Source organism: Homo sapiens, chromosome X, assembly GCF_000001405.40.
Source record: "Homo sapiens chromosome X, GRCh38.p14 Primary Assembly".
Classification (NCBI taxonomy): Eukaryota; Metazoa; Chordata; class Mammalia; order Primates; family Hominidae; genus Homo; species Homo sapiens.
The window spans coordinates 36,194,131-36,206,323 of NC_000023.11; the positions used below are offsets into that span (position 1 = coordinate 36,194,131).

General features: G+C 35.6%; 1 protein-coding gene across 2 annotated transcripts in view, besides 1 other annotated feature; it reads left to right on the plus strand.

Moving 5' to 3' along the window:
- Positions 1–12,193, plus strand: part of CFAP47 (cilia and flagella associated protein 47) — a 465,584-nt gene that overhangs the window by 274,397 nt on the left and 178,994 nt on the right. For both annotated transcript variants that reach the window (NM_001304548.2, XM_017029452.2), the window contains exons 43-45: positions 6,249–6,363; positions 7,144–7,370; positions 10,827–10,980. In NM_001304548.2, coding sequence (NP_001291477.1) covers positions 6,249–6,363; positions 7,144–7,370; positions 10,827–10,980 — 496 coding nt within the window. The remainder of the gene's footprint in view (positions 1–6,248; positions 6,364–7,143; positions 7,371–10,826; positions 10,981–12,193) is intronic.
- Positions 4,317–4,871: an enhancer, noted in NCBI's record as "OCT4-NANOG hESC enhancer chrX:36216564-36217118 (GRCh37/hg19 assembly coordinates)". NCBI's record gives its function as "activates a minimal SCP1, AML or CMV promoter by ChIP-STARR-seq in primed H9 embryonic stem cells {active_cell/tissue: H9 hESC(primed)}" and the evidence as "EXISTENCE:reporter gene assay evidence [ECO:0000049][PMID:30033119]".

Genomic DNA, 12,193 nt, shown 5'->3' on the forward strand with positions numbered 1-12,193 from the left:
GATTTTAATAATTTCATTTTATTATTCTGCTCACTCTTCCCAACATAGTTTAATTCACCAACAGTATACAGCCAATTTTCTAGGCAGAGAGAGAGTGAACATATGCAAAATCCATGATCCCTGCACTCAAGGGACTCACATTCCAGTTGTATTAGTCCATTCTTGCACTGGTCAGCGCTTGGTCCCAACCATTCAACAAGTCTCTATGAAGTTCCAGACTTTCCCTCATCTTTCTATCTCCTTCTGAGCCCTCCAAATGGCTCCAACCTCTGCCTCTTACCCAGTTCCAAAGTCCCTTCCACATTTTCAGGTATCTTTATGGCAATACCCCAATTCTGGTACCAATTTTCTGTATTACTTCATTCTCACACTACTATAAAGAACTACCTGGACTGGGTCATGTGTAATGAATGGAGATTTAATTGGCTCATGGTTCTGCGGGCTGTATAGCCTTCTGCTTCTGGGGAGGCCACAGGAAACTTACAATTGTGGCAGAAGGAGAAGGAGAAACAAGCATGTCTTCACATGGCTGGCAGGAGAGAGAGAAAGAAAAAGAGTGAAGGGGGCGGTGCTACACACTTTGAAACAACCAGATCTTGTGAGAACTCTATCATGAGACAGCACTAGAGGAATGGTTCCAAACCATTAGAAACCACCCCCATGATCTAATCACTTCCTACCAGACCCCACCTCCAACTTCGGGAAATACAATTCAAGATGATATTTGGGTGGAGACACAGAGCCAAACTATATCACCAGTGGAGAAGGCAAACTTGCATAGGGCTGGCCTATCTCACACAGAAACTTTGCATGAATTTGAAATATAAGGGCCTCCTACTGGTGAATTAGAGAAGCTTACTGAACATATGACACAGTCAAATGAATTAGAAAAATGCATCTCTTACTCAGTGGATGGTGCTTTGTGATGGGACATCCTTGTCCTTGACAAAATGCCCCCATGCAAGGCATACTCTTTGCTAGTATACACAGTGTCCTGAAACATGTCCGCTAATTTCTATAAAACAGTTAGACAGATTGTGACAATTTCTAGAATAGAAAGAAGAATTCATTTCTGTATGATAGTGAAGACAGGGATAATTGATTAATACAGGAGTTTGATCAAGGATGAGTTGCCAATAAAACAAAGAGACTGGGCAGGAGAGATGGGTACTCCCAAGAAGATTCTATGAACACAGCAAAACAGCTAAGTATGAAATCTCATGTACACATGGATTAATGATTCTGAGAATGGTTTCTTGGAAGTGATAGAAAATGGGTTGGATGGATAAATCAGACTGATATTGAGTAGGGCAGTTAATTTTAAGTTGAATTATTTATAATCATTATAATTATTATTGAAGCAGGAATCCAGTGGAAGAATAGGCAGGGCCTGATTTCATCTTTGTTTTAGAAAGCATCTTTGATGCCAAAACAGATAGTAGATTACAGGTTGGAGAAAGGAACTGGAGATAGGGAGACTGGCTAGGAGACTTTTGTATTGTGTTACACTGCTTCACATACTCCCTTTCTATACTGCCCTCGGCTATTCCCTCTGTAATTCTAGCAAGGGATTCCAAGGACCACAGTTTATATTGCTATAAAGATCAAACTTAATGACAGTTTGAGTGATGTTCGCATTTGAAGGGAAGGAAGTTTTCATTCACTTGCAGAGCAAATTGGTGACACATTTGAGTGAAATGGTTCTGAAAAATGTGGTGATAAAAGGAAAGAGAGACTGTAGATTTCATTGCCACAGTGACTTCTAAAGTCTAAGGACAGCTTCCAGGTTTTTGAGGAAATAATGTCCTAAAACATACCACCAATTATTATTAAACAATCCATTAATAATTTATGTCATTTAAATATATTTTATCTTCTCAAAATGTCTGTGGAATAATCTGTAAGGCCTGCAATTAATGTTGTGTCAAAATTTTGTTAAGAAAATTGAACTTTTAAGTGCAGGTATACAAATCTTTTCATGAGTCTTCTCACCCTCACTGAGTTTCCTAGCTCCTAGCTCACTGCCTTAATTATTATAAATTGTTCTATAAAAATATAATTTTAAATAACAGTGATTATTCTTACTAATCAGGTTTATATTATAATTTTGATAGCCAAATGGTGACCTATAATGATTAATGATCTCTCTTTAGCATATGGAATTTAACATTTCGAATTTTAGCTTAACTTCCATGTGCCTGTTTAGCCATCAAAATAATATAATATTGCTCAGCCTTCTCAAACAAATAAATCACAAAACGGGAAAGATCCGAACCCAAAATAAGAGAATAAATACGATTTAATACCTATGAAAAATCAAGGAGATTTTCTGTCTAGGTAAATGCACTTTTTTGGGGGAAGATTGAGGTTATTTGTATCTAGAGGGCATCCGTGACTTGTCAAAGGTTACCCAGCTAATTAGTGGCAGAGCTGGGATTAAAACTTTTGTGCCAATTCAGTGTTTGTATCCCTCTTTTCTGGGTAATTAACAGCTGGTCTTCTTGCAAATTTGCATGTAACTGTGCTATTTGAGGACTGCATTTAACTAGATACACAAGAGGAACAAAATATCTTCTGTAAAAGTTTCTTATAATTGACAATGAGCTTTGGCATCTTTCTGGAAAATACAATATATTTCTAATTAAGCATGCCAAACAGAAGTTATGAAATTAAAAGCAGGAAAAACTTGTATAGGTGATTATTAGAACAGCTCATGATGACAAGCGTCTGCTAAGTGTCAACTAATTTCATTTCCCTTGTCAAAGCTTCTAGATTTGGAATATGAGAGGATTTTCTACTTTAAAACAGCTTTTTATTTATTGCATTTCTGTGCCTTTCATGGTCTAATTTTATTCCAAGAAAAAGTGGAAGCAAATAATCAAACTATAGTAGAGATTATGGCTCTTCTGAATAATGTTCTGACACAGGCAAGATAAGCATTATTTTCGATTATATTAAGTGATTTTTTAATACAAAGAATATATTGATATTGAACATGTTAGTCAAAATAATTTTTTGAGATATGGTAATATACTGTGTGTGTAAGATGTAGAATTTAGTGGAAATTGAGTGGAGTCCTAGTTAATAATATTTTAACTGATGAATCAATGGCTGAGAAGATGTTATAATTTATATTTGAGGAAAATATTCTGGCAAATAGCCATTTACTCCTTTTAAATTGACTCCCATAGGTTGGTATTCATTTTCACATGGTAGACAAGCCCTAGTTCAGGTTTTATTTGGGCACACATTAAAGGAAACAGGTAGTTATAATAACTCTACACTCAATGAGTCTAATTGCTTATGCACATTTTATTTTTGATAAAACAACGAATTTTTAGGTAATTAGTTATCTAATTTCGTTGTTTTATCTAAAGATCTTCAGTCTTTAACTGATGCATTTTTCCTCTACTTGAATTACTGAATATTTTACATCTTTAATTGTTGATCATTCAGTTGTATTTGTGTGGAAACACATACAAACACACAAACACACAAATCACATTTCAAATGGCTAGCTTGGATTTTTGCTTGTAAAGTACGTGGCTGCTTAAGAAAATATACTATATGAAAATTGTGTATTATGTAGTATTTATTGCCAGGAGTGTATAGACTTAAATGATAAATAATATAAAACGTTCAAAGTTTTTCATATTCTTTTTTCCAGCATGAACTATAGATAACTGTGGGTCTTAATTAATAAAATTTTAGGGAACATTATCATACAGCAATAGACCACCAAATGAATTATAAACAAATCCTAATGGGGGATAACAAAGCTATAAATAATAGACCTCACAGTGAGAAATTTTTCATTCTTATATTGTTTATAGATTAATTTTTAATTTCTGTTTCATTTGTTATCTAGATTTGTAATATTTTAGAATATGTATTTTTTGCATGATCAATTTACCTTTATATCATTGTTGACAAAAAGAGTCAAACTCTAAAATATTTGGGGAGATTTATTCTGAGCCTAATATGAATGACCATGGCCTGTGACCCAGCCCCAGGAGATCCTGAGAACATGTGCCCTAGGTAGTCAGGATGCAGCTTGGTCTTATACATTTTAGGGAGGCATAAGACATCAATCAATACATGTAAGATATACATTGGTTCTGTCCAGAAAGCAGGATAACACAAAGTGGAGACTTCCAGGTCATAGAATTTAATGATTTTCTGATTGGCAATTGGTTGAAAGAGTATATCTAAAGATCTGGAATACATGGAAGGGAGAATGTTGGTTAAGATACTGGGTTGTGGAGACCAAGATTCTTCTTATACAGATGAAGTCTTCAGATAGCAGGCTTCAGAAGGAATAGATAGCAAATTATTCTTATCAGACTTAAAAAGATGCCAAACTCTTTAGTTAATTCTCTCCTGGATCAGGAAAAAGACCCGGAAAAGGAAAGGGGATTCTCTACAGAATGTAGGTTATCCCCGTAAGTGACAGCTTTGCAGGGCCATTTCAAAATGTCAAGGAAATCTATTTTGAGATAAAATACTTTGATTTCTTTCAGGGCCTGCTATTTCATGTTGATACCTTCCTGCTAGAGTCTGTTTTTCAGTCTTAAGGTCTCTGTTGTAATGTTAATGCTGGTAAGCTGTGCCTGAATTCCAACAGGAGGAAGGTATAATGAGGCATGTCTGGACTCCCCCACTTCCTGTCATGGCTTGAACTAGTTTTTCAGGTTAACTTTGGAATGCCTTTGGCTGGGCAGGGATCCATTTAGTTAGTTGGGATCTTAGAATTTTATTTTTGGTTTACATCATTTATCTAGATGTTTCATGATTATAATGAAGCAAATCCCAGTGATCACAGAATTTTATTCATAAGCAATTCAGTAAGTGTTTCTACAACAAAAATGTTTTTTTGACACTGCCAAAGATATCCTTGCTATAAAAATATGGTAAAGTTTTTCTTAATATCGTCCAAACATCCAAGCTGTTTTCAGATTTCTCCAATTGTCTTATACTTATTTGTATGTTTTTTCTGTCACTTCGTTTTAAGATTCTTTGAATCAGGATCTAAATAAGGTTCAACCATTGTGATTGCATATGTCTTTTGAGACTCCCTCTCTCCTTTTCCTTTTTATTAAAACTCTAGGTTCCTAAAATTAAGGTATTGATCATCCCATATTACAGAGGAGGAAACTGGATTTCAGAGGTTTAGTAAACTTGCTTGAAGCCTAGTAGCTAAGAAATGGCAGTGCCAATTAAAACCAGAAATGTCCACCTCTGCTGATCTTTCACTATATCATGTTGCTGCCCTTGCATTATTCCTGCTTTTGTTTTTGCCTTATCTCTTTAGCCTGTTGGTCTAAAGAAAGAAATTGAGGCAACATTAATATAGAGAGGTTATTTGGGCCAAGGTTCAGGATGGCTGCAAATGACTTACTTCCAGGTCGCCTTGGGTAGTGCTCCCTTCATTCTTTGTTACAAACAGATTTTTAAAGGCAAAAAGGGACAAGGGTGGCTGATACAAAGTTGTTTGACAGGAATCCTCCCTGATTTATAGAAATAATATTGGCTAATGATTGGCTATACATTGTTTGAACTATAGAGTATGAGTTATGGTTTCTAGCATATGGCATTTTATGGCTACTTGGCTTCAGTTAGTGTAGAGACCACATATCAAGTGGCCTCAAGAAGTAATTATTTAGCTCAAGGGGATGTGAAACTCAACTGCTGTCACATTTTAATGCCTCTCTGGGACGGATAATTAAAGAGGGCTTTTGTTAATCAAATAAAAGATTCTTTTCTTTCTTAAGCCTTTTCTACTTCTGGTCTAATTATTTTTTCTAAAAAAAATTTAGACTTTTCCATGTTCATTTTGAAAGCCTGCACTTTAAAATGTAGAGTTTTGGGGACTCAGATGCCTGGCAAAACTGATGTCACTCCTGTCCAATAATAAGTTACAGACTAAAGGAAAAAAATTTCTTGCTTCCTCATTTTGTTCATTTTAAGACAGCATTTGCCTGAGGATATTTGGGAAGATCAACTGCTATCAATGCAATCCTGGGACCTTCTTAAGCAATCCCTGTGCTCTGGTTGCAGGCAAAGTTTCTCCCATACTATGGTTGAACTATATTTGTGCCTTACCTTTGTTTACCCATTTATAGGCTGTGTTGCTTATAAAAGCACAATGCATGGTAGTTCTTACAGTATGCAGATTTCCCTTGTAGCAGAAAAAGTTATATTTTTATGAGAGATTTTGAAATTTAATACTATAATGTCTTGTGTTTTAGATTGGACAATTAATATATGTTGCGGAAGGAAAAGGTATGACCCCCTTGCCTTCCAGTTGCCTTCCAATGAATACGTCTTCAAGTCCAGTTTATTACAGCACTACTCGAGAAGAAGGTAGAGTACACATGTGTTTTATTTCATTTATAATGTTGAAGAATGGACTTTTCCTCATATAGTTACCTAAGCATACTCATAGCAAGCTTCTCTTCTGTGTGTTTAGATTTCGAAAGGGCTTCTTTTAACTTTATTATGTCAGTATCCATGAAATAGAGCAGCACCATTTTACCAATTAAAAAATTTCAATGGTGATTTTTTAAGTCTTCCTTTTCCAGTCTTAAGCTAAATATTGGAATTTGGCATACAAAATATTTACTTGGCAACACTTTCCATTTCTCAAATAATCTGGAAATTATTTTACTCTCAAAAAATCTACATAATGTTATATAACCTGGAATTTTACCCTGGCCCCCAGTTCTTGATTATTTTTCCTTAAGGAACTAAGCATTAAAATGTTGTCAGTGAAAGCAAATGACAGTTCTTGGGAGTTTTTGACAGGTGTCTTTTTTTTTTCCACATTTATGTCTACTCTCCCCCTACCTATCACTGATAGGAGCACAATGGTCACTGAATTTTTGAGCATGTTGATGACGTTTATATGGACCAATCATTTGACTAGATCTCTTAGAGAATACCAATAATCTTTAATTCCTGAAAACTTGCTCTTTAATTACTGAATTAGAACTAATAGACATGTGCTATGCATTTATTTTTACTCTGTTTCATAATGACCATAACTGCAATTTTATATTTCAAACCTCCCAAGTCCATCCTGGATGACAATGTCAAGGGCATAAATGTTCATTGTATTCATTAATATTTTTTTTCTTCCTCCAGGGCCTAATAAGAAATACCCAGTTCTGTATTTGAAATGCAAACCCTATCAAATCCTGTATGTGGACCTTAAATTGCCAATGACTAATGAAGCCAAGGAAAAGGCTTTGGCTTTTGCAGCACAGCAACAGATGTCGAGTATTGAGTATGAGCGAAGGTTGATCACAGGCACTCTAGAGAGCAGTAGTATCCGTGTGGCCATCGCCCTCCTGGGACTGACGAAGATCGAGGTGGGAATGGAGTAATAGATGATTCACTTCAATTACTCTCTCTTTAAAAATACACAGAGTTACAGAGCTGTTACTATTTAAAATATTATTTTCATTAAATAACATTTTTAGAAGGAAAAGTAATGAGTACCGAAGGACAGCTCAGTTGTCATTTTTTCCTTTATACCTCGTTAAATAATGAATCTGAAACAAAGCATTCTACTATGTAATTTAAGGCATTACAGTGTAGTCATTAATTCACAGTAGTTTTCACTTCTGTTTGCACATTAGAGTGCCCTGGAGAACTTAAAATAATGCCCATACCCAGGCCCCACTCAAGAAAAATTAAATATGAATCACTAGGAGGGGGTGGGTAGGAATATGTTCTAAAAGTTGCCCAGGATATTTTGCTGTGTAGCCAGGTAGAATCATCTCTGGTGTCAGATAGCCAGACTGAGAATTCAGACTCTAACACTGTCTAGCTGTGTGACTGTAGGCTGGTTATTTAAACCTCCTCAAGCCTAAATTTTTATATTTTTTTATATGGAGATATTGGTAATTTGTAAAAACTGAAATAATTATACATAAAATGCTTACCTCGTATATATAATAAGTGCACTCTTTATGCATGATATTGAGGTACTTATTACTACCCTGTAGTAATAGTACACTACTATTGCTATTAACTATTGCTATAGACTCTATCATTACAGCTTAGAATAAGGTACAATCTATTTTTATGATTGGAATTAGGTACAATCTATTCTCACAGAGCAGCCAAAGCGATTGTTGTAAACGCAAGCCTGCTCATGTTGCTCCTGTGTGCATATTCTTCTACTGGCTTTCCAGCTAACGTTTGTTAAAAGCCCATATCCTTTGGATGATCTACATGACCCGTCATGTAGGAGTCCATCAGTTCCTCTTCCTTCCCTCATCTCACCTTTTCTACTGGAGTCCATTCTCTAAGGCCACTCCCTCAGCACATGCCTGGTTGCTTTGCTTCAAACATGCCAGGTGTCTTCCCCATGGCCTTTGAACTTTCTCTGTTACTTTTCCCTACACATTAGTGGGCTACCTCTCTCAGTTACTTCAGGTGTCTGTTAAAGTGCTCTTACTGGCCAGGCGTGGTGTCTCACGCCTGTAATCCCAGCACTTTGGGAGGCCAAGGCAGGTGGATTACCTGAGGTCAGGAGTTCAAGACCAGCCTGACCAATATGAAACCGGGTGTTCACTAAAAATACAAAAAACTTAGCCTAGTGTGGAGGCGTGCACCTGTAATCCCAGCTACTTGGGAGGCCGAGACAGGAGAATTGCTTGAACCTGGGAGGTGGAGGTTGCAGTGAGCTGAGATCACACCATTGCACTCCAGCCCTGGCAACAAGAGTGAAACTCCGTCTCAAAAAAAAAAAAAAGAGAAAGAAAAAAAGCTATAAATGAGGTTTTGTTTTAGCAACTTACACACATTTTTATATACATTTTTCTTTCTTAAGATTTATCTTCATTTATATATATCAAAGTACTTGGCATTGTAGAAATTATTTATTTTTTTATTTGTCAGAAGCTAGAATCAATACAGCCTAATCCCAGATTTCTAACAATTGGTGATGATATTTTTAAATGACCTGGATTTTGAATTTCTGGTTGGCTCAAAAAATGTTAAATCCTGAGGCTTTGATACTTTCTTGACTGCACCGTGCTTCTAAGAAGTTGATGGTTTTCTTTAGCTCAAACCAAACCACTTCTTTCTGATATAGAACAATAGATTTCAGAAGGTTTATGTTCAACTTTCAGTACACTATTACATTAAAATTTTTCAATTAGTGGCTCTTTCAAAATTTAAGCCTGTCATAATGCCCTCCCATTTTCTTTTTCAATTCATTTTCTTCATTATTACCTCTTGTCAAAACATTTTATTTAAATTATAAATGGTTGAGAGAGGTGTTATTTTGTCCATGACTAGCCTTTTCATTGTGTATGCATATATATAGTTTCTTTCTCCTTCTTCCTTTAGCTTTTTCCTTGGAACGCAGCATATGTGTTTATTATTACATTTAATAAATTATGTTTTTATTGGATTTACTTTTATGTTTAACTGTTTCTCCTGTCAGATTGTGAAATCCTAGAATCTTAAGAACTTTTCTCACGTGTTTTGGTCTATCCTTTGACATCTTATGCATGATATGAGCCTTGTCGTTGTTTAATTGAATTGAAAATATGCCTAAAGAAACAAAAGTCACTTTTAACTTGCTTCACTTACACTTAGAGACCTGGGCTTATATTAAGTGTCCACTTTACGAAGAATAGTATTGAACTACATTTTGTCTAGAGGAGCATATGCATGGAGGTGAGTTGTTGTAACCCCCATTATCATTGTAATCATTGAGGAACTAAAAATAACAAACCTAGGTAAGAGAGTTTTTGAACATCTGTGGAGAGGTGGGACCCAGTTATTTTTGTAAATTCACAAAATTGTCTTTAGTGAAATAGGAGGCCTCAGTCTGTGCTACTAATAAGAATGTATCTGATGATGAGCATTTTTTCATGTGTTTTTTGGCTGCGTAAATGTCTTCTTTTGAGAAGTGTCTGTTCATATCCTTCGCCCACTTTTTGATGGGGTCGTTTGTTTTTTCTTGTAAATTTGTTTGAGTTCATTGTAGATTCTGGATATTAGCCCTTTGTCAGATGAGTAGGTTGCAAAAATTTTCTCCCATTCTGTAGGTTGCCTGTTCACTCTGACGGTGGTTTCTTTTGCTGTGCAGAAGCTCTTTAGTTTCATTAGATCCCATTTGTCAATTTTGGCTTTTGTTGCCATTGCTTGGAAACCATCATTCTCAGCAAACTATCGCAAGAACAAAAACCAAACACCGCATGTTCTCACTCATAGGTGGGAATTGAACAATGAGAACACATGGACACAGGAAGGGGAACATCACACACCAGGGACTGTTGTGGGGTTGGGGGAGGGGGAGGGATAGCATTAGGAGATATACCTAATGCTAAATGACGAGTTAATGGGTGCAGCACACCTACATGGCACATGTATACATATGTAACAAACCTGCATGTTGTGCACATGTATCCTAAAACTTAAAGTATAATAATAAAAACAAAAGAATGTATCTGATATATCTGATGGGTAGATATGAAGGAGTACAGGTTTCAACTAAAGGAGAAAAGCACTTTCTCAAATGCTGGTCAGCGGTGGAATAGTTTCCTCTTAAGGCAAGGCATTTCTCAACACTGAAAGCATTAGCACGGGGGACATTGGTCATCTCTCAATAAAAGAGGACTCCACTGGTTTTCTGAAATGTGTTTGTACTGTTTTCCACCAATTAAATAAAAATAATGAAATAATCAAATTCAATCCTTGATGGATTTTTTTCCCCAAAGGTATAGTCTAAATACATAATGCTGTCTTTTGTGTTTTGGAGGTGAAAGTTAAGAAAATTACATTCTAATTTTACTGTTTGTTCACAGACTCTTATGCTCTTTCGTATCTCAAAGTTGAGGAAGCCTAAGACCGTTTCATACACAACAGAAGTGAGCCTTCCAAAGTATTTTTATATCCCTGAGAAAATCTCCATTCCTTGGATTCCAGAACCTCAAGTAATTAAACTTTCAAAAGCAAAAGGTAATCAGTGATGTGCGGCCTAAAAATCTAAGTGTTCCGGGAATGATGATGTATTCACTTCACAGTTGAGGCAAAAAGAGATTACACTTTTACTGACAAAGTGTTCATAATATAATTGAAGGGTTTCAGTGAAGTAAATACCAATTATTGAATGATGCTTTGCATTACATATAATCAACATATTACATCACAGTAATCAAAATTATGTACTGAATTTGGGTGCTAAATTACTGGTACTGAAACTTGCAGGCTTACAAATTTGTTAAAGAGTGGTAATCTGATAAAGATAATAAGTGCACTTTGAGGAAGGTGAGCTCTTGCTTTGAGAGTGAACTTGGTTATGGAAGTTGTGCTGAAGTTGAGGCTTAGGCTGGCTCTAAAAGAAAGGAAAAATGTTGATGGCTAGAGGTTATCAGAGGAGAAGAATGTGTTATTGGTGAGTAACTTATCTTTGATCTGGAGCAGGATTTTTATTGAATACTGTACTTATTTTTGATCTCCTGGTGCCCCTTTATTCTGTTGCCATTATCAATAAGGTTTAATCCAAATTTAATATGAATATTGATATACTAGCATTACTAAATACAAGTGATAAGACATAAACAAGTGACTAAATATTTTTAACTATTCAAAATTACCTTTCTTTTTCATTTCAGTTCTTTTCAAACAACTGGATAATAGTAGGAATGTAATTTATTCACTAAGGCTATTCCTAGAATGTTCCACAATTCCAGTATCATGGATTCTCACTTATGCTTTTGCTAAATTTGGTTTTGTTAAATCTTCATTTGTCATTCTAGTATGGATTTGTGTTGGCTACAAAATATTTGTAAGCCTGAAAGGGTGATTACAACTTATAAATTACAAGATAGTCTGTTTACTTTCCCTCCCTAGGAGAACTGAGATCCCAGACTCAAATGCTAAGTGGCCATGCAAATAACAAGGAATTAAGAGTTAGGTCTGGTCTAAGGTAATAGGGATGATAGATCCTATGGTGAACTAGAGAGTAGATGCCCTGTCTAAACATTCACATTCAAAAAGTAAAAATAAAAATAACCTGAGCCAGCCAAACAACTACGGAGGGATATTTGGCTTACCAGCAATCAGTTTGAGACCCTTCATCATAAGTCTTTATCTTATTAAAATCTTTATTAACTCAGCTTTTCAATGTGCTATTAGAATTTTAAATGGATAACTTGTTTTAGTAACTTTT